Genomic DNA, 27805 nt, shown 5'->3' with positions numbered 1-27805 from the left:
CTTTCTAAGTACACATTTTTTTCTAACTTTTCTAAGTTATTGAAATGGTGTTTAAGGAAAATATCCTTATTGAGCTCATCCTCAAATAAAAATAGGAAGATATTCTAAGCAAACCAGAAACACTTGTGCAGATAAGAAGTAGGAGGAAATGTACCATAGTTTCAGTTAGACACAGAGAAAGAAGGTTGAAAAGTATGACATGAGAGTGGGAGCAAAACTAGATTATAAGGTGGGCAGACAGCATCTGCTTCAGTTGGTGTGTAAAGGATATGTGAAGGTCCTTTCTCCGAGCATTTTGAAATAGATGTTGCAGTATATTTTAATTTTTCCACAATCACCTGGAAGTTTATAGCCATACTAAAAATTAAGCACAAAATTTTAAATATCTTGGAGAAAGCTAAACTTAGGTTAAGTTACAATAAACAAAAATCAAATAACTTCTAATGTAACATATATTTCCATTCCTTACCAGGGCATCCCAGTGTCTCTGGAAATCTCCATATGAGTGAAAAGGACAGGCAGCGGGGATGGCATGAAAAATATTTATAATTTGTCCCATTTTCATACTATGAAAAATGAGAGGAAGCTATTATGAGCCAATGCTTAAATATAGTTTAATAAGTCAACTACATGATTTAGAAAGTGTTCAAAAAAGATTCAACAACTATCTCACTAGCTATATATAGTAAACTAAACATCTCAAGTTTCAAACACGTTGTACTAAATCTTTTTATTTTGCTTTAATTGACAAATAAAAATAGTATATATTATTTATCATGTATGACATATTTCAAAATATGTATACATTGTGGATTGCTAAGTCGAGCTAATTAACATGCATTTACTCACATACTTTTTTTTTTTGTGGTAGACCACTTAAAATGTACTCTTAGTGCTATTATTTATTTTTTGAGACAGTGTCTCGCTCTGTTGCCCAGGCTGGAGGGCAGTGGTGCGATCTCAGCTCATGGCAACCTCTGCTTCCCGGGTTCAAGCCATCGTTCAAGCGATTCTCCTGCCTTAGCCGCCAGCTGGGATTACAAGCGTGCACCACTATGCTCAGCTAATTTTTGTATTTTTAGTAGAGACAGGGTTTTGCCATGTTGGCCAGGCTGGTCTCAATCCTGGCCTCAGGTGACTGCCTGCCTTGGCCTCCCAAAGTGCTGGGATTACAGATGTGAGCCACCTCACCCCTTCTTAGTGATTTTTAATATGTATGTAAAAAAAGTAATTGCGATTTTTGCCATTACTTTCAATAGCAAAAACTGCAATTACTTTTGCACCAACCTAATACTTTTTTTTTTTTTTTTTTTTTTTTTTTTTTTTTGAGACGGAGTCTCGCTCTGTCGCCCAGGCTGGAGTGCAGTGGCGGGATCTCGGCTCACTGCAAGCTGCAAGCTCCGCCTCCCGGGTTCACGCCATTCTCCTGCCTCAGCCTCCCAAGTAGCTGGGACTACAGGCGCCCACCACTACGCCCGGCTAATTTTTTGTATTTTTAGTAGAGACGGGGTTTCACCGTTTTAGCCGGGATGGTCTCGATCTCCGGACCTCGTGATCCGCCAGCCTCGGCCTCCCAAAGTGCTGGGACTACAGGCGTGAGCCACCGCGCCCGGCCCCAACCTAATACATTTTTATTAACTATAGTCAGTATGCTGTACAACAGATCTTTTGAAGTTATCCTTCCTATATAACTGAAATTTTGTATCCTTTCACCAACATCTCCCCAATCCACTCCTTCACTCCCACCTACCCAGCCCCGGTAAGCACTATTCTACTCTCTGCTTCTGAGAGTTCAATTGTTTTAGAGTCCACAAGGAAGTGAGGTCATAAGGTATTTGTCTTTCTGTGCCTGGCTTATTTCATTTAACATAATATTCCTTAGATTCATCCATGTTGCAAATGACAGGATTTCCTTCTCTTTTAAGGGTGACTACTATTCTATTTGTGTATATACCACATACTTCTTTATCCATTCATCTGTTGCTGGGCACTTAGGTTGATTCCACATCTTGGCTGTTATGAATAATGCTGAAATGAACATGGGGGTGCAGATATCTCTTCAACATACTGATTTAATTTCTTTTGTATGTATCACCAGCAGTGGGATTGCTAGATCATAAGATAGTTCTATTTTTAATTTTTTGAGGAACCTCCATAGTGTTTTCCATGATGGCTGAACTAATTTACATTCTCATCAACAGTGTCCAAGTGTTCCCTTTTCCCCACATCCTTGCCAGTATTTGTTATATTTTGTCGTTTTGATAATAGCCATTCATCAGGTATGAGGTGATCGCTCATTGTGACTTTAATTTGCATTTCCCTGATGATTAGTGGTGTTGAGCATTTTTTCATACACCTGTTGGTCACTTAAATATCTTCTTTTGAGAAATGTTATTCGAGGGCTTTGCCCATTTTAAAATCAGGTTATTTGTTTTCTTGCTATTGAGTTATTTGAGTTCCTTATATACTTTGGATAGTAGCTCTTTATCAGATGTATGGTTTACAAATATTTTCTCTCATTCTGTAAGTTGTCTCTTCACTCTGTTGACTGTTTCCTTTGCCATATAGAAGCTTTTCAGTGATGTAACCACATTTGTCTATTTTTGCTTTTGTTGTCTGTGCTTTTTCACAGATACGTAGTTTTCAGTGTACAGGTCTTTCACCTCCTTGGTTGTTAAATTTATTGCTAAGTATGTTTTTGGTAGCTGTTACAGACAAAATTATTTTCATTGATTTCTTTTACAGATAGTTTGTTGTTAGTATATAGAAATGCTACTTTTTTATGTGATTTTGTATTCTGCAACTTTACTGAATCTGTTTATTAGTTCTAACAGTTTTTTTGTGGAGTCTTTAGGGTTTTCTATACATAAGATCATGTCACCTGCATACAGCAACAATTTAACTTCTTCCTTTACAAGTTGGATGCCTTTTATTTCTTTCTCTTGTCTAACTGCTCTAGCTAGGACTTCTAGTACTATGTTGAACAGAAGTGGAGAGAGTGGGCATCCTTGTCTTGTTCCTGATTTTAGAGAAAAAAGCTTTCAATTTTTCACTGTTGAGTATGATGTTAGCTACAGGTTTGTCATATATGGCCTTTATTTGTATTATATTTTAACAACTAGAATTACTAGAAAAAACTAAATTAGATTTTTGTAAACAATGTGCCAATTGTAAGCACAAAATAATGACTAATAAATTTTTCCACCCAAAGATATTGCTGGTAATTGTTAGACTTTAGGGAAAAGTCTGTAAAGAGAGTCAAACCTATGTTTTCTACCTACCTCCTCCCAGCTTCAATGATTGAATTATTATGTGTATGCTACTGAAGTTCTTTTTCCTAAGCAATTTAAAATTTTATCCCAATAGTCCTGCTTATACTAGTAACAAATTATTTTTTCCTGAAAATAGTACAAACTCAAAACTCAGCTCATATCAAATTATAATGAATCATTATTAGATATAAGTTTATGAGGTTTTATTAATATTATTTTGATAGTTTTCATTTTATAATGAGAAATTTAGAAATATTACCTTTTTTGAAACTAGATCTAATAAGATGTGAATATATAATAAAATTATTAATTTGATAAAGAAAATTCATGGCTTTTGTAAATATGACAATATTGTTTCAATACCTTTGTGAAGTCATAATTCAGTATTTTAAAATTCACCAAAATAGTTTATACTTTTACACATATCAATGTTAAGAAAGCAAAATAAGGGAAACCACCATATTTTGAACCCACCCTAGATATTACAAATTGAAATCTCACCTTGGCAAAACGTAGCACCAGTTGCTTAAAATGGAATGTCTCTCAATGACAGCATGCTTGTTAGCATGAAAATCCTTTATAATACTCTGGGAAATCTCAAACTCTTTTAGCTTTTAATAGAAATAAGATTTGTAAGTCCTCAAATCATTTGGCAAAAAAGGAAACATTTTAAAAGATACATATTTGTTACACACACACAGTAGGTTATAAAGTAGATTTAAAGACTTAAGTTACATTGAATCATGCATAACCACTTTACATAAGTAGTCAAAGTTGCAGCTCACCCTGCTTCTCCTTTATACAATATATGAAGTATTTCATGCTTTCCCTCTTACCATCCAAGCCCAAACTCCTATTTTGCAGTGATTTTAGTTGGTTTTCAGGTGGTTTTTTTAATTATGTTAATTTGCAGGAAGTTGAATCTCTTCCAAAGGAAGGTGTTCATATTTTAAAATAATAGCTTTTAACCTCAATTGTTTTTTTAAATGGAGGATGAGTAAGGGAATTATACCTCCATCTGGTCTTTTGGAGGAGAAAAGACAGAGCCAATGCTCCAGTCTCCTTTTATACCCCTCCCAGCTTCCTAGAACACTTTCTTCCCTGTTCCTCAAGTGTCCTCCCTGTAGGGCATTTTGGCTTGTATTTAACCTACAAGAGTTTGCCAATTACAGCTCTCTTACCCTGGAAAATCTCCCTGAGAGGCACTGTTCCAGTTAGCCAAAGATATAAAGAGACCTCAAGGAGGGTGAAAAAATAAAGTATTAATGGGTGAAAGGACACTATATTAACATTAGACAGAATGATTCATAAACCCTTACCCCATTCTTAACCAACCACCTAACATCTTTTGGGAAACAATGTTCTAACTTCGCTGCCTACTACTTTTCAAGGAAGTCCAACTAAACTGGACAACTTTTTATTGCCTGGACTCCTACCAATAAGGTCCTAATGCCTGGATCTAGACCCATCTTCTCCATGTCCAGTGACTGATCCTTCTCTGAGTTCCTATGTCATTCATTAAGACTAATGGAAATGGAGGAGCAGGGAAGAGCAGAAAACATGAATGCAGGAAGAGGAAGATAAGATATGCTAGTTACGTTGTGAGGTAAAAGAGCAAGGACACGCAGAATGAATAAGGACACATATTTTCCTGTGCACAAGAGATAAATCTTGCACTGTGATGTACTGTGCTTAAGAGATCAGTTGCCTGAAATGTGTGATAAAAACATGGTTAGAGGAGGCATGGTTATGAATGTCAGAAAAGACTGGTTGCAGAGGGAGGACTAAACTGAGAGAAAACAGAACTTAAAATTGAATTCACAGAAGGTAGGTATCAGGTTCAAATGTTTAAAGTTTATGGGTTCCCACATACACCTACTTATATAGCTTGAGTATACATCCTCTGGGTACTTTCTACAGTATTCAGAGACTCAAGTCGATTGCTGCAGGGACCTCAGTAAGTACCAGTACTTATTGTTTACATTGGTCTTTCTCAACACAGATTAAAGACTGGCAAACCACCCAGCTGTTCACCATATACTCCAAGAGACTGCGAATGCTAACCCTTTGTATTTCTTTATTTAGCAAATATTTATAAAGTGCCCTTATATGATGACTAAAACCATACTGAAAAGCAGGTATTCAATAAATATTATTTTCTCCTTATAACGCCAATCTGAACAATTTAGACTTAATTTTCTCTAGGCAATGTTGAAATACTAAAGATATTTAGGCTGGGGACCTTTGTTTTAGAAAGTGAACTCTGTTGACATTGTAAGGAAAAATTAGATAATAAACTTGAAGGAGAAAGGCTGGAAACAGGCCCATATGGAGACTGGTTTAATAGTTCAAGTAAAAAAAGAGAGTCTGAATTAGAGCAACATAAATGGAGGCAGAGAGGAGTCCATTTCAGAGACCACAGTAGGCTATTAAAGACTAACTGGAAAGAGAAAGTGAGAAAGAGGGAAAGCCAAGGATAACTCTGAAGTATTTAGGTAGGTAAATTATTGACTGCTGATGCCACTAATGAAAAGAATAATTACACAGGGGGAACAGATTTGGGGTTGAGGAAGGTGACACATAAATACATTCAGTTTTAGACATAATTGGGTCTGACTGCCATTAGTACATTCATTTGAAAGTATCCAAGAGATGACAGAAAAGTTACAACTATACAAGAATATTTGGGAGGTACTGGTGTATAGGCTGAAGCTACTGAAATGGGTAAGCCTGCTAAGGAAAAGAGGGCTGAAAATGGAACCCTAAGAAACAGCAACATTTAAAATGATAAATGAATGAAGATAAATGAATTCCAGGAGATTCTAGAAAAATCAGTTTCAGATAAATCAAGAGAGGAGATTATTTCAAGAAGAAAAGTGTGAAAAATATTATAAGTGTTTCAAAGATTTCACATATGATTCCCTCAGACATTTTCTTTTTCTCTTAATTCCTCAAGTAACATAGTTCCTATAACACAAATTTTGATACTCCATTAACAAACATTGTTTTTTAATGTATTTTTATTTAACATATATTAGGTTTCTATTTCTGTAAGGCTCTATGGGACATACAAATTTGAACCAAAAAACCTAAGGCTAGGTGAAGGAAGCATGGTACAGCAGAAAGGACAGAGTTGAAGGACAAACTCAGATCCTGAATCTCTTACTACCTTTATGATCCAGAGCAACTTACTTAACTGCTTTGTGTCTTAATTTACTTATTTATAAAATAATAACAATAGCTATCATTTTTTAACCTCTACTGCCAGGTACTATGCTAGGCCCTTAATGTACTTTACACCATAACCTCCTTACAACCCTAGAAGGGATATCATTATCTCCAATTTATAAGAAAAATGGAGATTCTGCGAGATTAACTAACATGCCAAAGAGGCACTGCCAGTAAGTGCCGATCTGAGAATTTTAATGTGATTCTAGGCCTACACTGAATTTTCTGGGTATGTGAATATTAACCAGTACTCAGTAAATGTTCCCTTCTTCTGGTAAGTTTTATGTGTGCATGCTCTTCTTTCTTCTGACCTAGATAAAACATTCTGGGAGGAAAAGGTGTTTTCCATCAGCACTTGGCATATATACATAGTAGTACCCAGTAAATATCCATCTACGAAATAAATAGAAATTTGTTTCGAGGCACTCATTTCCCAAATTTTCCATATAATTAAATTTCAAAGCAAACAGTTTAATATTACATAATGCTTTTCTGAAATATATCCCTCATGTAACTGTGGATTCAATTATAATCTCAATGCACCAAACAGTAAAATGGCAACTTGTGCATATAAATTCCTTTAAGAAACATTTAATTACTTCCAGGAAAGCATTATTTTAAAGTTTAGCACAGTCCAAAATTTGAGAAATGAGTAAATTACTGTTTCAATTACCTCTTAAATTTTTTTATCTCTATTTAAATTGTAAAGATAAGGGCTGAAATCCCATTTTTCATAATGAATTATAATAAACTGCTTCAAAATTTGTCTAAATAGGGTCAAAGGTCAGGATTTAGAAAACTACTCCAATCTCTAGCCCAGAGGAATTAAAAAAGAATTTAGAAACAAAAGTCACCTAGTTCAAAAAATAAATTAGTCTTTCACTCCAGTCAATGCTCCATTCATTCCATAAATCTTTACTAAAGTGAGTGACAGGCACTAGAGTAGGCTCCTATGATAGAAAGATTAATAAGACACAGACCTTCCCTCTAGGACTTCTCAGTTGAATGAGACATTTGCATAGATAATATGTGATAAACAAGGTAGAGAGCACCAAGAGAGATGAGACTTAGGAGCTGGGGAATTCTTCAAAGGGGTGATGTCTGAGATAAGCCTTGAAAGATGAGCAGAAGAAAGGGAATTACAGGCTTAGACAACTGTGAGATCAAAGACATGGAAGGATGAAAGACCATACTATCTTTGAGAAACAATTCATAGTCTGGCTACTTGGAGAGCAGTAATGGGAGATGAGGCTATAAGTAAGATTGGTTTGGATCAGTTTGCTGAAGACCTTGTATATCATAGTAAACAGCTGAGATTTCATCTTATAGTCAATGGAGGCCATGGTAGATTTTTGAAAGGGGAAATGAAAGCAAACAAAATAAACTGGAGGGAAGAGAAACCAGAAACATCCTCCTTCTCACCTCTTCATCCTTATTTCTCCCCTCCCCACAACCTGACCTAATAACTATGAAAGAAAAAAACCAGAATCTCAGAACCCCAAACTCACTATGCCAAAGGGAACATTAAGCTTGGTAACTGAATCACACAAAAACAAAAAACAAACAAAAAACCCCTGCCTTCCTTTCATTCCCAGACAGCTTAGTTTCAGTTTATTACTGTAAATGTAGATTTACTGAGTGAGAGAAATGCATAATTGACTTTTCTGCTACCCCTTTTCATGTGTATAATGTAGATTCACTCAGCTGTAATCAAAGCCTCACAAGAATGTAACCATTTGCCTCATTGCCTACCCTCCTCCTCTTTTCTCCCCTTCCTCTTTCCCCTTCTGCTTGTTCTTTCCCCTTTAAATACTGAAGTCCTCAAAACCCTGTTTGGAAAAAGCATGGGGCACAGATCCTATTGTAACTTGTATTTCTTTTCCCTGGGCATGTCATCAACCTTGGCAAAATAAACCTGAGTCAACTGAGATCTGCCTCAGTCACTTTTTGGTTAACATAACCAATGCCAGATTTTAATAAAAGGAAAATTAAATGCAATTATCTTTTAGGCTCCATGGGGAATAAAAATGAATAACACAGGACCTAGAATCTCAAAAATTTTACAATTTAGTGGGAACATAGGTATATATGAAACTAATTTTTGTAGCAGTCAGAATGTGTAAGACATCATATCAAAAACATAAGTAAAAGTGAGATTCAGAGAAGCTGATGAACAATCATAATTTAGAGAATTGATTTAATTTAACAAGTACATGTTGAGTGTATAATGTTGAATAGAGGAGAGGAATGTTATTGCCCAATTTTTGGTGTTTCCTTCCATGCCCAGAAAGCTCTACTAACACATATTCCTGGAATCATTCTGCTCTGTCATTCATTCCTCCCTAGGGCATATGGATGGTGATATGGTTTGGCTGCACTGCCACCCAAATCTCATCTTGAACTGTAGTTTCCATAATCCCCACATGTTGTGGGAGGGACCCAGTGGGAGGTAATTTACTCATGGGGGCAGTTACCCTCATGCAGTTCTTGTGATAGTGTGTTCTCACGAGATCTGATGGTTTTATAAAGGGCCTTTCCCCCTTTGCTCTGCACTTTTCTCTCCTGCCACCTTGTGAAGAAGGACATGCTTGCTTCCCCTTCCACCATGACTGTAAATTTCCTAAGGCCTTCCCAGTCATGAGGAACTGTGAGTCAATTAAACCTCTTTCCTTTATAAATTATCTAGTCTTAGGTATTTCTTCAGAGCAGCATGAGAATGGACTAATACAGATGGTAAAATTGGGATGAATAACCAGGCATGCTGGCTCACCTCCTCCCCTTCCTCTTGGGAGTTGGCCTGCTGGCAGAGAGTGGTGTTCTGCATTCTGTTTGTCATATCAGAACGAGTGCCTGGTCTCCCAAGGGAGGCCTAAGGTTTTTCCACTACTGCAATAAGTGGGTGGGTAAGTCTGCCTAATTCTAAGGTTCAGATAAACCATGTCCTCCAAGAGCTGTTTTTCCTTTCCAGTAATGAACAGCATGACTATATATCCCAGTTCATGCATGTTGGGCCAGTATCTCATCAGGTTAGTGCCACTTTCACTCTCAGAAGCATCCTATTTTGAGGATAAATTATAATCTCACCCAAGTAATACAAGTGACATTCTGATCTCTATTTATGTCTTACTCCTCTGTCAATCTCTAAATTGGTTCAAACTGAGGTGTAGAACACAGAAGTATCATCTGTAGAAAATTCAAAGTTGAATAAGCCACAATATTAGTCTTCATGATGCTTCTTATAAGGAAATCAGAGGTATAAAAATAGAAATAAGCATGTGAGTATAAACTACAATTTGACTATCTGTCCCCTCCAAAACTCATTTTGGAATTTAATCCCCAATGTGGCAGTATTGAGAGATGGAGCCTTTTTTTTTTTTTTCCCCTCTAAGATGGAGTCTTGCTCTTCTGTAGCCCAGACTGGAGTGCAGTGGCATGATCTTGGCTCACTGCTACCTCTGCCTCCTGGGTCTCAGTTCTAGCAACTCTCCTGCCCCAGCCTCCCGAGTAGCTGGGATTACAGGAATGCACCACCATGCCCAGCTAATGTTTGTATTTTTAGTAGAGACAGGGTTACACCATTTTGGCCAGGCTGGTCTTATACTCCTAACCTCGTGATCCACCCACTTCGGCCTCCCAAAGTGCTGGGATTACAGGTGTGAGCCACCGTGCTGAGCCAATGTGGAGCCTTTAACAGGTGATTGAGTGATGAGGGCTTTGCCCTCATGAATGGATTAATCCATTCATGGATTAGTGGATTAGAAGGTTAATGAATTAATGGTTTATCATGGGAGTAGGACTCATGGCTTTATAAAAGGAAGAGAGACCTCAGCTTCCACACCCTGCCCTCTTGCTATGTGATGCCTTGTGCCACCTCAGGACTCAGCAGAGAGACCCTGAAAGCAAGAAGGTCCTCACCAGACATGGCCTCTATAACTTTAATAAATAAATTCATTTTCTTTACAAATTACCCAATTTCAGGTATTCTAAGCGACAGAAAACAAAGACAGTTTGGTACAGGAGAGTATGAGGGTTTAAATGAGGGTGGGAGATCACACACGGTTTGGAACCTTGGGAAGGTTCCTCATCAGTCCAAGATATACATGTCATGTTACCCATTCCAGTTATTTATATGCAGGTCATCTTCCCTACTGGCTTAAGTGATTCTCCAGGGCAGAAAAGTAGATCCTATTCATCTTGAACTTATCCATTGTCCTTTGTTACTTATCCACATAAGAGGTAATCAAAGAATTAAATGGAAATAAATGAATAGAGGAGTAGCATTTGAGTTGGCCCTTAAATGATGAGCAGGACACGTATAGCCAATCAGAGGGGCATTCTAAGCAAAGAAAGCATCATTTGTTCTATGCCTGGGGTTTCTCAACCTCCACACTATTGACACTTTGGGCTGGATAATTCTGTGGGTGGGGATAAGATGGCTGTCCTGTGCAGGGGAAGATATTCATTAGCATCCCTTCTCTGGCCTCTACCCACTAGATGTCAGTAGCAACACCATCCTTCCTCCACTGTGATAACCAAAATTGTCTCTAGACATTGCCAAATTTCTCATAAGGAGCCAATCATTCATTTCCCTGCCCTCAACCGCTTCCATTGAGAACTACTGGCCTAGAGGAAAGACAATAACATTGAGTGACACTAGTGTGTAAGGTTCTATGCTAGGTGCTATGGGAATCCACAAAATAAAAGACATATCCTTCTACTAAGAAGACAGAAAGTGTTATGTGTAAAAAATAGATGCAAAAAAATGCTACCAGAATATCAAGGGCAGGGGAATTAATATTAAATTTAGTAAGAGCTGAAATCATGCTTTTTATATTTGGAGGTGAAAGAAGAGGCAAGAAGTGGGTGCTAAGACAGGATAGGTTGTGGAGAGTCTCGGATACCATCTTAACAAAGTTTTTGAACAAAGGAATAATATGAAGACCTGTGTTAAATGGACAGAACAATATTTTCTTTGGGGAAGCAGATTTAGAATGACATAAATATATCAAGCATTTAATAATACAGATTTTGATAATAAAAACCTTTCTAGCACGCTTTATGTTAAAAATTAAAACCTAATCACGTTAGTAACAATAATAAATATAAAAAGTATATAGTAAATATAATAAAGTATAGAAATCACAATATATGGTACCTCAGGTGCTGGCAGTCTGATTGTGCAAGCTTCTATACTTAGACAAACTTGAGTTTCTGTTACATTGATGTTTAATACTGAAAATAAAATATTTAACTGTGAACTACCTGGAATTATTACTCTACTATTAAATTAAGTATTTTAGTAACAAAGGAAACTAACTTATTCAAGTCAAAAACAAGAACAGATTTTTTTCCGCACATGGTAAAATTCAAATAATAACCACTTAATATTTGACACTTTACAGATGAGACATCTAAAAGAGGACAAAGGTATGAAACAGCATGAATGTGTGTGGGGGGTGCAGGTCATAGGCAAGGTTAGAATAAAAAAAATGAGACACCCCACAGTTAAGAGAAAAATCCAACAAATACCTTACACAAATCTGACATATATTATATATATAAATATGGAGATTGTCCTCTTCTGTAATCTAAAGAGGTATCACACCATGTTTCTGACTTGAGTAGTCTTTTACTAACAAATATCCTCAAATATACTGGCAGATATATTCCAAATCTCCTAGAGCCTTGAAGTCTTTACCTTTCTTTTTCATAAAGAAAACTACTTCTGAAATGTCAGGATAGTGGTGACTTTGGGAAGGGTTAGTACATGAAAAAAGCATGAGGGGGATTCTGGGGTGCTCTTAATGTTGTTTCTTGATCTGAGAAATGGTTACAAGAATGTTTAGTTTGTTAAAATTCAATGAGCTAGACACTTAAAATTTGTGTATTACATTTCAATAAAAGTAAAAGAAAACAAATCCTAACACAGGAGTGAGGAATTTTCCTCTCCTAAACTGTTATTTTTAATCCCTACAGTTGTAGTCTCATGACAGTGTTTGGAGATGAAACTAGATGTAGGTAATGAACCCATTCACCCAGAGGTAGGGCACACTGACTGACACTACACAAATTAAACATACAACTAGTGCAAGGAGAGCAAACAGGCTTCAGCTGGAAAGTCAACCCAGATCTAATAGCTGTAGATTACAGGTCAGGATTTTAAGGCTATGCCCAAATGATGTGAAAAGCTACCATGATTGATTAATAATGTCTACGGTGGTGACTCAGGATTATCATCTATCTGCTATCTCTGGACTACTGTTTAGGAAAGTGTCTATCTGAAACACAACTGTGCAAATCAATGAAAGAACTGGATTAGGCCATGTAGTAAACTGTATACTTTAGATCATCTGTGTCTCTTTTTCCAATTTTTTAAGGAGAAAATGAATCCTATTCTTATAAGAAATAAAGTTTTGACTTACATCAGTACTAAAGAATTTTTGATGATATGATTCTGGAAACTATACATTATAAATGCCTACAGAATTAAACTCCTTCACAGTCATGATTTTCTTTAAAGTAGAGAGAATAAAAATATAGCTTTTTCCAATTAAGATGAATTTTTCTCATACAGTCTAGAATGTACATTTTGAATAAGAAGTGATTTCCCAGGTGAAATTCTGATTACAATAATATCTGATTAAGGTCTTATACAACCTAATTAATCAATAATTATACAACCCAATGATCTATGTTACTGGTTTTTTTTTTTTTTTTTTTTTTTGAAATAGGGTCTTGCTCTGTCACCCAGGCTGGAATGCAGTGGCACAATCATGGCTCACTGCAGCCTCAACCTCCTGTGCTCAACTGGCTCTCCACTTCAGCCTCCCAAGTAGACGGGGCTACAGGTGTGGTGCCTGGCTAATAATTTTGTAGAGATGGGGTCTTACCATGTTGCCCAGGCTGGTCTTGAACTTGTGGGCTCAAACAATCTACCTACCTTGGCCTCCCAAACCGTTGGGATTACAGGCGTGAGCCACTGTGCCCAGCATATGATACTGTTTTCTTTAGCAACTATGAATTATATTGTTTTATCTATTGACTTATGCATTTTTACTTACCAACAGCACTTTGTTTTCCCATCTGAGAAAGAAAATCTCTTCCTTAAAAAATTCATAGAATATGCCATGTTATTACAACTCATAAATAATCATGCTTGATATTTATAACTATGCTTGATGTGAGATTATCAAAGCTAAAGAAAATACTTTAAAATGCAGTTGTTATATAAAGTAATACCTGATGACAGCTGAAAAAATATAATCATTCAAAAGGTATCTCTTCAATTAAAAGAATGGAAATACCCAATTCTTCCCCCAAATGTCTATTTCCTGCTATAAAATATTTAGAAAACAGTCAGACTTCAAGAAAAATTCAGGATAGCTTCTCAGTTTTAACAGTATTGTGCTCATTTTATCATACTGCTTTGTAACTTACATTTATTCCTAAGTATCAAGTATTACATACTGATTTTTTTAAAGAAACATCAGGCCTCTGTATATAATCCCAAAGTAAAGAAATGACATTTATGTTGTTGTGGGCTTGCTTGAGATTGCTTAATTGGGTCAGTTTTAAGAGTTATTTTCTAAAAATTGTATATCTTAAAATTAAGAACAGATGCACATTCATATGGTTTGGCTGTGTCCCCATCTGAATCTTGAATTGTAGCTCCCATAATTCCCACATGTTGTGGGAAGGACCCGGTGGGAGATCACTGAATCATGGGGGTGGGGCTTCCATGTGCTGTTTTCATGATGGTGAATAAGTCTCATGAGATCTGATGGTTTTATAAAGGGGAGTTCCCATGAGCATGCTCTCTTGCCTGCTGCCAAGTAAGATGTCCCTTTGCTTTTCCTTCATCTTCCGCCATGATTGTGAGGCCTCTCCAGCCATGTGGAACTGTGAATCCACTAAACCTTTCCTTTATAAATTTTCCAGTCTCCAGTATGTCTTTATTAGCAGCATGAGAATAGACTAATACACACATAACAGACGTAATCTAGTTCAGAAAGCCCCAATGACTAAAAAGATAAAGTTACCTTGTATCAAGAGATGACCAGTTCTATTCCAGGCTGGAGCAAGTCTAGCCATGAATGAATATGACAGGCAGTTCTGAAGAATTACAGGAATTACTCTTTGTGGAGCCTCCATCTAAAAATATTAAATGGCAAAATATGGGCCAATTTAGAACAATTGCTGTGTATGCATATACTAATAGGAAATGACTGCCCATTTAGATCACCACCCAACAAACTCGGGTGTTCTAGGTAAAACTTATAGCCATTGCTAGAGCTAATCCCATCTGGTTCTAAAGTTAAAGAAGTGTTAAAATATATTCACTTCAAAACCACTACTATTGTCATGCTATCATGGCCAAATACTACCTGCTGACCCTGGCCAGTAAGTCTAAATCTTGGGAGTTCTGTGCTAAAACCCTTGATCTTCACTTTGTATTCTGCTCCACAAAGAGAAATCCAAACAAGGACAAACTTGTAATCGTTCTCATTATTGTTCACTCTGTTCCTGGACCAAACTGAACGTTGGGCTGCTATTTCTTGCAGCCCAATAACGAGATGCAAATGAACTGGGGAGGAAGAGAGTTTTTATTTTCTGCAACTGGTTACAAGGAGAAGGCCTGGAAATTATTGCCAGACAAACTCAAAATTACAAAGTTTTCCAGAGCTTATACACCTTCTAAGCTATATGTCTATGTGTAAGTGTGCATTTATCTAAAGACATAAGTGATTAACTTCTTTTAATCTATAACTAAGGTCTGAGTCCTGAAGACCTTCCTGTGGAGCCTCATTAAGTTTACTTAATCTAAATGGGTCTAGGTGCTGAGGTGACTACCCTTATCTTGTCTCCTGCTAAATCATAAAGGTTTGGGGAGTTCCTTTAGACCCCAATAAACTTGTTTATGGAGGCCTGGGGAGTTTCTTCAGACTCACAATAAAACTTGTTTAATCCTAAAAGGGTCCGGTTAAGAATTCCTTCGTTATCTTGTCATGCTTCAAGGCCCAGGAAAAGCCTAGGCAAAACTCTTGGTGGGCTCTTTGTTACATTCCAGCCTTTGTATAAGGGCATGGGCTCAATTAGCTTTTAATGTTTAACCTTGCTACTCAGTCAGTGCTGGGACAGTTGTAATGGAGGCCTGAGTTAGTGAGACCTTGCCTGCCACAACTGTAGAAAACAATACATACTTACATGGGCACACGCAACCAAGAGAATATCTCTATTTGTATAATACAAAATTAATTTTAAAAATTAAGATTTTCACTTAAAATTAAGACCAATAAGTAATAGGAACCAGATTTATCCTCCCACTTGAAATGCCTAAAACACCAGGCAAGTTATACGAAATAACAGTTCACAACATATCCGACATCAGGCAACAAAGAAAAGTGATCCCCAAAAGATGGGAAATGAACAAGATAAGTCCTAGGATTTCCCCAGCTTCTTGATGATAGAGGGTTTCTAGGCTGCAGTACAGAGCAGGGGAACCTAGGAACAGGCCAGTAGTCTCCCTGAATTGAGGAGACAGAGCTGAGAGTCTAGGAAGCTAGAGTTTTCAGTGCGAAGTATGGGAGCTGCACAGAAAGCAAACTCTGGAGGTCAACAGAGAGTCTCTTTTGAGTAATCAGCTGAGTATGGATTAGCACAGACATGTGAGGAAGCTACCCAAGGCTGGAGAAAGAGCCAAGGCTGTTTGGCATATAAACATCCTTGAAAATACAGTCCAGAAAAAATTGCTGGCTTTGCCTCTGTGAAAAAGGACATGCAGAAGCATGAGAAAGCCGAGGAAAATTGTCTCCCAATATTATCCATCTCTAATTTTTGTACCATTTTGACTTCTGGTGAATGTTTCCAGGACATAACTGAATAATCTATTGGCAGAGGATGGAACCAAATTTCTTCAGTTTGTCTCATACAGAATTTAATTAAGGACTATCATTAGGACTCCATAATGCTGACCTCAAACATGGCCCCAGGGGCCCAGACCCAAACAGCTGTACAAATCCCATAAACCACCAGGGTCTTCCTCAGAAGGCCAGGTGGATTTCTCTCTTAATTTCTGTATTGACTTTCTCTATGGCCCAAGGAATTAATCCAGATACAGCAAAATCTATCAGCACAGACTCAGCCTTGGCATGCAAAGAGGAAGTATGGGGCAATTCTGTCATTCATAACCATCCTGCTTGGTGACCTGGATGCCTTGCAGTGCAAAGATGGTGTGAGTTATCACTTCAGCTAAAGTCAAGGACAAATTCTCTACCACCTTTTCTATGTGAGTGACTCCCATTGCAGGGAAAACTGCTTTCAGGATGGGCATGAACAATGGATTGTTATCTCTCTAAGAAACTCCTCCAAAATAACCAAGGGCAGCCTCATTTTGGAAAGTTTGCAGCAATTGCCTAAGGGCTATGAATAGAACTTCAAGGAGAAACAGAGAAATTCATAATTACAGGTAAAGACTTCAATACTGCTCTCTTAATAACTGATACAAGTGAACAGAACATAAGTGAGAATATAGCAGACTTAAAAACACTATCAACCAATGTGACCCAATAAACATTTACAGAATACTTGATGACACATTCATAGAATACTCATTCTTCTCAAATGGACAAGGAACATTTACTAAGATAGACTATATTCTGGAGCATAAAATAATCTCAATTAATTTAAAAAGATTCAAGTTATAAAGAACGTATTCTCTAACAACAATTACATTGGAAATCAACAGCAAAAAGATCCCTGGAAAATCCTCAAATATTTGGAAACTATATAACACACTTCAAAATAACCCATAGATCAAAAAAGAAATCAAACAGGAATTAGAACGTGTTTTTTAACTGAAGAAAATCAAAACAAAACGTGATTAGGAAGAAATATATAGCACGAACGTGTTTAGGAAGAAATGTCTCTATATTACAAAACAAAGAAATTCTCAAATCAATGACCTCAGCTTCCACAATAAGAAACTAGAAAAATAAGACCTATAAGATTACCAAGGGCAGAGACTTTATCTGGTTCACAGCTTTATCCCCAGAATCAAGTAGAGTGCTTGACATGTTACAGATGTTCAATAAATATCTGCTGATTATGATTATGTGAAAAGTATTCATATAAAGAAAAACTGAGCATAACCATAAAGGCTCAATGAGGGTAGAAAACCAAGTGATACTGGAAGAAACCTTGTGAATAATAAAGAATTCAGGGTTGGAAAGTCTAGTGAAGGTAACAAAAATTTAGTTTATAGGAATAGAAACTGAGACACATGGAAAAAGGATAAGAGTGTAAACAGAAAAATCTTAAACATTTTGGAAATATGACAGCTTGTACTGATGAAGTCACAGGTGTGAATTAACAAGGTGGAGGAAAAATATAGGACAAAGCATTTTTATTATTGTATAAGGACTATGGGTGATATTTTCTTAATTTTTCATTTTTTCTTGTAAAGTACACATAAAAATGATGATGCTTAGTATAAATGTTGCTTTATTAAATCAATACAGTAAGTCCTCATTTAATGTCATTGATAAGTTCTTACAAACCATGACTTTAAGCAAAATGACATATAACAAAACCAATTTTGTTATATTGGTTTTGGCTATTGCTAAAACTATACGCTGATATAAATAAAAGTTCCTATGGCATAGTTCTGGTCACCAAAAATCACCAAGCTTTTAAATAAAGACCAAAAACACTTGTAATATTAACATTGAAATAAATGTAAGCTATACATACATTTAAGACAGATTAATAAAAACAAGTAAGAATTATTTACCCAATTTTTGGTGAATCAGTGAATGACAGTGGTAGTAGTGGCAGTGGGTAAAATCAAGGAATAAATGTTTGCAAAGCGAAAATTGTAAGGAGCACCTCCTACTACCACACGGTTCAAAACAATCACAAATATGACAGGCTCCCTGAGTGCTTTTGTACCGCGTCATTTACTGTAGTGCATCTGTATGATTATTGTATACTTTACGAACATTTATTTTATAATTTGTATTCATGCAGCAATTTATTCATTTATTTTACAATTAGCTTATTCTAATTCAGGGTGGTGGGTGGCCAGAGCCTATCCTGGCAGCTCCAGGTGCAAGGTGGGCACCAGCCCTGCACAGGACTCCATTCCATTGCAGGGCAAACACACACATACCCACACTTACTCAGCCTGGGACACTTTATACATGCCAATTCACTTAATGTGTGCATATTTGGGATGTGGCAGGAACCTGGAGTATCAAAAGAAAACCCACCCAGACAAGGGGAGAAGGTGCAAACCACACAGACAGTGGCCTTGGCTGGGAACTGAATTATTTTCCTTTCTCATTAATGTTATATTGAAACAACGTTGAACAAAATTAATTTACTCAAGGATCTGCTATACTAAAATGTTACCTATTCTTAGGCCTTAATAAATAATAGAATATGGTAGAGATTGCTTAAAGACCCAAGTCCTAGTTCTAGGTGAATGACATACTATAAATCTGGTTCTCATAGCTAGCTTGTAAATGGCCTTTCAAGATAACCAGAATCCTTAGATGACCAAAGACTTGTCTCAGCAAAAAGATGTAAACATATTCTTTCCTCATTGCTCCTGAATAATACTGTTTTCCCACAGATTGTAACTGATGGCTGGAACCAGCTTTCAGGTCATTCAAAGATTTCTCAGGGAACTGGAAAGTGTTATTGACATTTTACTTCCCTAGGACCTAAAGGCAACATCTCATTTTAAAGATGACTAGAAACCTCATTATTCCAAACTCTACTAGACTTAGGAACAGAGGCCAGCAATAACAGCTGTTGCTTCTGGGATAACCAATGACACAGTGTCTCAGAGTTACATGCAGAGGCATGAAAGGAGCTCTAGTCAAGGCTTCATGACTTACTGAGACACAGAGAGGTCTCAGTAAATGAATACTAACCACTGTATTCATCTTTCTCTTTGTGAAGATCCAGAAGCTCATCACCATGTAGAATACAATCTATAGTATTTTATTTCTCTACATATTAGCTATATAATGTGGACAATAATCCCAACTCTGGGTTTATCTGTGAAAATGACGAGATTCACTTATCTGAAGATGTATATGGCAAATAAGATTATGCCACATAAAATGCCTGAAATAAAGCATCCAACAAAAAAGCCTCTTCTCCTCTTTCTGCACTAATTGTGCACATAATAATTGTTAGAAAAAATTTGTTGGGTTCTTTCATACGCATAACAATGGTCTATGAGAAAGATACTCCAGTTTTTGTTTGTTGACAAAAGGAGTGGAACGTATAATCCCTATAAACAACATATGGTATTAATATCATTTTTTAACACTTACCTTAGCTCCATATTTTTCAACATAGGCATTAAGTTTTCTTGCTTTATAAAATGGTATCTGTAACAAAAATCCACATTTATAAAAAGGACTTAACATATATATATATAATTAAATAATGCAATAAAGATTTTAAGCATTATTCTACAGAGGGCAAAGAATCAGGCCATCATCCAATTAGGGTTTGTGCCTTGGAGAAGAAGTGATGATCATTCTCTCCCTGAATTGGAATCTGTGGGCACATTTTCAAAGTGAGGAAAGCCTTTCTAGGAGTGACATGACCCCAGTATCCATATAAAGGAAAAGGTCAATAAATTTTGTATAATCAATATTTAACGCCTTTCTTAATATAGAATTCTTAGGCATGAATAAGGAAAATGGACATAAACGGAAGATCATGTTCAAAGGCCTAAGTGCTCCAACTTATTAATAAAAGGAATACAAATTAAAGGAAAATATTATTTGTAACCTAACAGACTGACAACTATTTAAAGGCGTGAATATCTACAGTGTTCGTGAGGGTATGGAAAAACAGGTTTCCTCCCAGACTATTTGTTAACATGCAATCCGGCAAAAAGCTTTTCAGACAGCAATTTAGCAGTATCTATATTATAGTTTAAAGTGTATTACAAGCTACCTCTAAAAATGTAACCGACAAATTATCAGACAAATAAAAGTGATACAATTTCAATGATGCTTTCTGAAACACTGTAAGAGCACAGACTCAGATGTGCACTGGAAAGTATTAAGTAAATTACTATACATCCATACAATGAAATATTTCACAGCCTTAAAAGTGAGGAAGATATGTGTACTGACATGGAAAGATATCCAGGAAAGGTTGTTAAAGGGGAAATGAATGGCAAGTTTCAAAATAGTATGTATGTAATCCCATTTTCTACTTTTAAACATCAACTTTTTTTTTTTTTACAGAATACCTTTGTAAGAAAGCAATACATTTTTTAAAAACAGATAGCTACTTTCCTCTTATCGCCCTTGCTTAAATTCACATTCTTGAATTTACTAGTACTCTAAAATAATGTCCTTGTTCCATAAAGATGTTTAGGTAGAAAAAGATACAAATAAGATATTAATTTACCTGTTCACCAACAGCTTGCCTTTTAAAAAAACTATAGTAAGAATAAGAAAATATGGCTGGGCACGGTGGCTCAAGCCTGTAATCTAAGCACTTGGAGAGGTCGAGGTGGGAGGATTGCTTGAGCTCAGGAGTTCGAGACCAGCCTGGGAAACACAGGAAAACCCTCTCTCTACACAAATACAAAACATTAGCTGTGCATGTTGGCATGCACCTGTAGTCCTAGCTACTCGAGAGGCTGATGGAGGAGGATTGCTTGAGCCTGGGAGGTGGAAGTAGCAGTGAGTCGAGATGGAGCCACTGCACTCCAGCCTGGTCAAGAGAGCCATATCCTGTCTCAAAAAAAGGAAGGAAGGGAGAGAGAGAGGGAGGGAGGGAGGGAAAATACGAGGTGGACATATAACCAAGACCTAGGAGAAAAATAAAAGAACTAAACTTTTAGATGATTTATCAGCATTGTCAATAAATGCTGATTTCACTGGATTCTGGGAATTAAAATATCAGAAAAACAGAATTTCCAGGAAGATTTTTGATAAAAATCTCAGGATAATATGATTTTTAGAAAGATTTTTGGCACTTCGCTATAATTCAGGGTTACATACAGAATTGGGAAATATCTTTCTAATACTAATTTTAAAATTTTAAGTGTAAAAATAATTTTAAATAAAATGTTCCATTAGAAGAAATGTTGATCCAAGTTCTTTAAAAACAACTGGAGATTTGTTGAAATGAGAAATTTTTTCCTTTTAGTCTAAAGAATAAAATATGATAAAATGTATCAAGCCCATGCTATCTTAAAAATTATACTGTAGCATGTTTTATTCATTAACAGTCTTTATCTTAGCATTTATAATGAGAAAAATAAATGTTAAATTAGAACCACAAAAATGGATTTTAAGCATCAGGCATTTCAATATTAGTTTGTTAATAATCCAATTAACCTGTAACACATTGTGATTAATCAATTAATCCTCATAAACATCTTAACTTTAGCTATAATACCTAAATTATTATTTATCAATATTGTTCTCAACTAGTAATAACATTTCACAAAATATTAAAATACTAACCGCCATCACCACCCAGATTTGGTTTAATATTCCAGACACAGGTGATGTAAGAATATCTTGATGCAAAAACAGCAATTGCCTGTGGAGATGAAATATATTACAAAGTGGACTGGTATGGTTTGGTTCTGTGTCCCCACCCAAATCTCATGTTGAATTATAATCCCCAGTGTTGGCAAGGGACCTGGTGGGAAGTGATTGGCTCATGGCGGCGGATTTCCCCCCTGTTGCTCTAGTGATAGTGAGTTCCCATTAGATCTTGTTTAAAAGTGTGTAGCACTTCCTCCCCCCACCTCTCTCTCTTGCTGCCATTAGAAGAAGGTGCTTGCTTCCCCTTCACCCTTCTGACATGATTTTAAGTTTCCTGAGGCCTCCAATCATGCTTCCTGTTAAGCTTGCGGAACTGTGAGTCAATTAAACCTCTTTTCTTCATAAATTATCCAGTCTTAGGTAATTCTTTACAGCAGTGTGAAAACAGACTAATACACTCACTATCCGTTTTTACTCTATTGGAACATTTTAAACCTTTGCTTAGCTAAAACGTTAAGTTTCTCCTAGGCAACAATTGTGTTAGAGACTCTCTCCCCACACTTTGCATAGCACCTTGAACAGTGTAGGTGTAGGTACTCAGGCAATATTTGACTTAAGAGAATTAGGAAGTTTTAGATACTAATGCTAACTTGAGAACTTGTCCCCGCATCTGAATTTCCCAATCTCTTTCATCTGTGAACCTAAATTCATCTTTTAGAACTCAATTTTTGTCCTATATACTTGAAGAAATCTACACACAGTGAAGAATCTGTCTCCTTTAACTCCTATTTCTTCCATTTTTCCTTTAAAATAAAAAAAAAGGTGGTGGGCAGGGGGCACCAGAGGCAAGAGTCTAAGGATTCACCTATCAGTGAAGTTACCAACCACTTAAACATTTAGAACTACTGACTAAATCCTTTTCCTTCAGAAAGGAAATTCTTCCCAAGCCAGAAAGAACTGGGTAGTGGTTTCAACAGCCAAATGAACTTAAAACAAACATCATCAGAATCAAATTACCATTAATAATTTCATTTCAAGGTTCAAGGGAAAGATAGGAAAAACACAAAAAGAATACAACTGGAAATCTGAAAACCTTCAACATTACTAATCATCAAAGAAACAAATTAAAATAACCATTAGGATGTGTATGGGGTTACCTTAAAAAGCAACACGGGCCAATCTGTTTCTGGTGGCTTCATATTTGTTGGAACCAAGGTATATCAGGTACTTGCCTTGGCAAGGCCTGCCATTACCTGACACAGCCAAATGCTACTAGAGAGAGCCAAATGCTATTCAAGACTCTCTGTCAATTACCGGGAGGGTGAGTGAAGATAACCCCACTCTGTGGGAATGGCTGCCTTCAATTTGAGGACAAGCAGAAGAAAAACCTCACTTTAGGTTTTCTACCTATTTTAGTATTTCCAAAAGGAGTCACAGATTAAGTCCTTAACAGGTATCATATTATACTTTAGCAGGAAGGGTACAGGCTCCCTGATGCCCCTGGGTGGGAAAATATGCAATGGAGAGAAGAAAAACTTTGTAAATAAGACGAAAATGAAGGACACCCCAAAAGTGGCTTCCTTATTTCTTGCCTCTGGGTATCTTCTAGTTGTTTGTTCTTCTCTAAGCAATTCATTTAAATATAGAATCTTCTCATGTTTTCTATGACTCTTCCTTTGAGTGCCTCAAACAATTTAAAGGAGGGTCCTCAGTAATCATGGAATTATACTTTAGGTTTCCTCTAAGCTGCTTTTCTTTCCTTTTTTTTTTTTTCTGAGACAGAGTCTCGCTCTGTTGCCCAGGCTAGAGTGCAGTGGCACAGTCTTGGCTCACTGCAACCTCTACCTCCCAGGTTCAAACGATTCTCCTGTCTCAGCCTCCTGAGTAGCTGGGATTACAGGTGCCTGCCACCATGCCCAGCTAATTTGTTTTATTTTTAGTAGAGATGGGGTTTCACCATGTTGGCCAGGCTGGTGTCGAACTCCTGACCTCGTGATCCGCTCACCTTGGCCTCCCAAAGCACTGGAATTACAGGTGTGAGCCACCACGCCCGGCCCTCTTAAGCTGTTTTTCAACGACTATGTGGGATCAGATATTTTGAGACAGATCCTAGAGAAATACTCCACAGTGTCTCATACTGACTTGAGAATTAAGAAACTATACTAATCTAAGATGTTTATAGGATCTCTAAGTGCCCCACCTACTGGAAATACCTACTGGAAAACAGTAGGTATTCCATAAATATTGATTAATTAGGACCTCTAAGTTTCTGGGAGCCTGAATTTAATTCATGAATGTCTGTGGAGATTTTAAACTTTTAAAAAGCACATAAGAGGTCACAGATATAAAAACTCAACAGTGAGATAATTCTATTGCAAGTATTTTAAATCCCTCCTTAAATATAATCCAATATACCTGGTCAAAACAAAATCTGACTTCCTTTATTTTAAAATTATAAACACAAGTTGAGTGAATGAGTATTTTGCTTTATAGAAAATTCCTCTAAAACAGCTTTTATAGGTCTCAAAGTTTTAAAAGTCTTAGTTATAAGATGTATTTTTTTACCTGCACATCTTCATTTGTATAGTCCTAATCTCAGTATCTGCCACCTTATTACTCAGTATTATTCTGACAGCACAGAGTTTGTTTAAATCTGGAAGTGTGATGAAGAACAGAGACTGCTGCCTAGAATCATTCATACTTTCCTGACTGAGTGTCTCAGCAATCAGGCCTTTAAAAATAAACAGCAAAAAAAGGTAGTAAATTATCTTACCAATAGAGTTCCAATACCAAGTCAGCACACAATATTTGATATTGTTTTAGAATGGGATGATACAAACAAGTTAGTTTGCAAACTTCAGCAGTTAAGTATCCCTGCCATTTACCTTTAAGGTCTTCTAATGATTTTCTAGGATTTTTGGTACAAGTTTTACTAAGATATAGTTCACATAACATAAAATTCACCCATTTAATGTGTACAATTCACTGTTTTTTACTGTATTCAGAGTTGTGCAACCATCATTGCAATAATTTTTAGAATATTTTCATCACTCCTTTTTCTATAACAATAACTATTTTTTAAAAGTCAAAATGTATAGCAAAGTCTTTTGTTGTTTCAGATTTTTCTGTAAAGCACTTCAAGGTTGAGGAATATATTATTTTTCATTGTACACGACAGAAAATGTTTACTGGTCTCTAAATTGTTACCTAGTTTTTGTTTCCACTAAATTATCCAGCTTTCAAATTCTATTGGAGGCACAGTTTACAGTTGATAATTCATAAGGTATACCTTTGAAGTCTACATTACATTTTACTACAGTAACAAAAACTGGAATATAAAAGTAAAGCAACCCAGTGAAGCTTCAGTACACTAACATGCACAAATACATTAGGGAAAAGTAAGCTGGACTCTAGTACTTTCAACTTTTCAACATCAACATGCTTTTTCTTTTTAAGAAAGAATAATATACTGGCCCGGGAATGTGCAGTGTGACCAGCCTTCTGATCACAGTACTGAAATGAGTTTGTGGTGTCATCTGAGGAATGCTGGCAATGCCAGCAGGAATGTAATACAGTAGGAATGTAAATTCCAGGTCACCAAAAAATTCCTGGGTGCAAGTCCTCCCGTTTTGCCAATCTTCAAATACTCACGGATTGCAACACTGTATGTAAACAAGAGTGATCTGTTCAGGGATAAGCATGAATTTATTAGAATTATTACTATTGTTTAATTTTGTGAGTTCCTAGTTGGCAAAACTTGCAGATTCAAAAAGAATGTTGTTTTCTTTGGCTAGGCTGTAGAACTATATTGTGAAGCTCAAAACGTGGGCCAAGCCTTATTATGATCTACGGATGCGCTATTAACATCCTGTCCAGGGAGTCGCTCCACTACGTTTCTGTCCCAGGATTTCATCTTTATTCCCAATCCCCAGCAGGGCAAGGAACAAGTGCTAGGAGCAGGCAACAGGCACCTACGCAATTCTACACGTGAGGGAGGACTCAGAGAACCCCAAAGGACCAAAACTCTGGGAGCGCCCAGCTCCTGCAGTGCTGTGCGCTAAGCCTCGGGACCGCCGCTACGAGGGACCCTTCCTAAAAATCCTCCCGGGGCGCGGGGTTCAGGGCGGCCCCAGACCCGGCTTGCCGCTGCCCCCAGGCGAGCGCCCACCCCTCTTCCGGCCTGGCTTCTGTGAGAACAGTAATGGACGTGAGTGGAAACGAATCTAAGGTCTTTGTTCAGCTAAATCCATTTTAAAAGGTGATTCTATAAATTTCCGATATAATGAAATGCCCGAAAAATTGGGACTCATGGGTCTTTGCAGATGAATACATTTTTTTCCTGACCCAAACCAACGTCCTCAGGGTGCCGGCGCCGGCACCGGGATCCTGCCCTCATGGCGGCCCTGACCTGCTCCTCCGCAACCGTGGGGAAGAGAATCAGGAAAATGGTCTTACAAACTGGAAAAGCAACACTTCTAACGCCCACGGCCTCCTGCACTGCAGATGCGTCAGGCGTCTCCTCAGGGGGAGGAAAGGGCGGGTGGGCGGCAGGGCCTCCAGCAGTCTCCCTCGCTTCCGCTCTGCCTCCTTCAAGCAGCTGCCCCCCAAGGCCAGGCCTCTTGGTCTCTGTGGGGCGTCGATTGAGAGCCCGCGTGCCTCAGCTCCCTCCTCGCTGCCCTCAGGAGACGCTCCCGGCTCGCCCCGCGTGCCCTGCCTTCATCGGAGTGTCCCCTCGTGCCCTCCTCACAGCCCTCGGGAGCCAATCCCAGTATTTCCCGCGCTCTCCCAGCGTTCCCTGCGCTCTCCCAGCATGCCCTGCAAGCCTTGCGCTCCTGGCACGCAATGTAGGTCAACTTTTCCCGCCAAGGCAGGAACCGACCAAAGCTGGTCACGGATGACCCAGTGAAGCCCTGTGAGATTCTCTCAGCCTGAGCTGGTGTGGGTGGGGCCGGGACACAAGGTTCTGGCCGCCCTCGAAGGCGGGAAAGCTGGGTCAGCGCAACACGTCCAACGGGGAGCTCCGGCGCTGAAGCCCCGGCTAACTGCGTGCTGCACAGGGGCTACCCAGCCTCTTGCCTCGGCACGTTTCTCCTCAGATTCTCATGCCCGAATTTACAGCTTCTGCAGTTCCTTTAGTGGTGGGAATCTCCATGACTGGAACATCTTCATGCCTGGTGTGGAGGGGAAGCGTGGTGCAAGCTCGTGGGAGTAAATCCACGAAGCGCCTACTGTGTGCAGATGCGTTTCTAAGGTCTGCTGATAGAGCACTAAGCAAACAGCATTCCCGGTCCTTGTGGGATGCACATTTTACTTGGTAGTTGGGGGAAAACAGATACGCAAGATAAATGTGCAAAATCTTAGTGTGGCAGATGGTGATAGGTGCATTGGAGAAAAATTAAGTAGGGTAGGGAGGCGGGGAGTGCCGAGGAGAAGTCGTTAGGTTTAATAGCGTGGTCAGGAAGGCCTCGTGGAGAACGGGACGTTTGAGAAAGACATGAAGGCGGTGAGAGTGGGCAGCCTCGTGCATGTCTCGGGGGAGAATGTTTGTTACGAGAGAGGGAATCCTACAAAAGGCCAGGGCAGGAGGGACGCCAGCTGGCTGCAGTAGAGCAGGAAAGAAGTGGCTCCGTGAGGCAGGAGGAGTTACAGAGAGCCAGACAGGGTTAGGCCCGATAAGCCATGGAAGTATTAAAGGTGCATCCAGCCTGCTGTGCTGGAATGGACTGAAGGGGACAGGGAAAGGAAGAAAAGCAGTTAGGAGGCAATGGCAAT

At 38.0% G+C, this 27805-nt stretch overlaps 1 protein-coding gene across 1 annotated transcript in view, besides 1 other annotated feature; it reads right to left on the bottom strand.

Moving 5' to 3' along the window:
• The window catches only part of C18orf63 (chromosome 18 open reading frame 63), a 43351-nt gene extending 16592 nt beyond the window's left edge, over positions 1–26759 (bottom strand). Inside the window, exons 1-10 of the mRNA NM_001174123.2 lie at positions 26489–26759; positions 24599–24764; positions 22007–22085; positions 19844–19900; positions 14540–14651; positions 13562–13603; positions 11656–11732; positions 3774–3883; positions 470–566; positions 272–357 (exon numbers count right to left, since the gene is read on the bottom strand). Of these exons, the coding sequence (NP_001167594.1) occupies positions 272–357; positions 470–566; positions 3774–3883; positions 11656–11732; positions 13562–13603; positions 14540–14651; positions 19844–19900; positions 22007–22085; positions 24599–24732 (794 nt within the window). The 5' untranslated portion in view covers positions 24733–24764; positions 26489–26759. The remainder of the gene's footprint in view (positions 1–271; positions 358–469; positions 567–3773; positions 3884–11655; positions 11733–13561; positions 13604–14539; positions 14652–19843; positions 19901–22006; positions 22086–24598; positions 24765–26488) is intronic.
• Positions 26382–26551: an enhancer, noted in NCBI's record as "experimental_50341 CRE fragment used in MPRA reporter constructs". NCBI's record gives its function as "activates a minimal promoter by MPRAs in K562 erythroleukemia cells, with activity observed for both the introgressed and non-introgressed 18:71983367 variant alleles {active_cell/tissue: K562}" and the evidence as "EXISTENCE:reporter gene assay evidence [ECO:0000049][PMID:34662402]".
• Positions 26760–27805: the final 1046 nt, after the last annotated feature.

This window comes from Homo sapiens, chromosome 18 (genome assembly GCF_000001405.40).
Source record: "Homo sapiens chromosome 18, GRCh38.p14 Primary Assembly".
Taxonomy (NCBI): Eukaryota; Metazoa; Chordata; class Mammalia; order Primates; family Hominidae; genus Homo; species Homo sapiens.
This window is presented reverse-complemented; position numbering and strand designations above follow the sequence as displayed.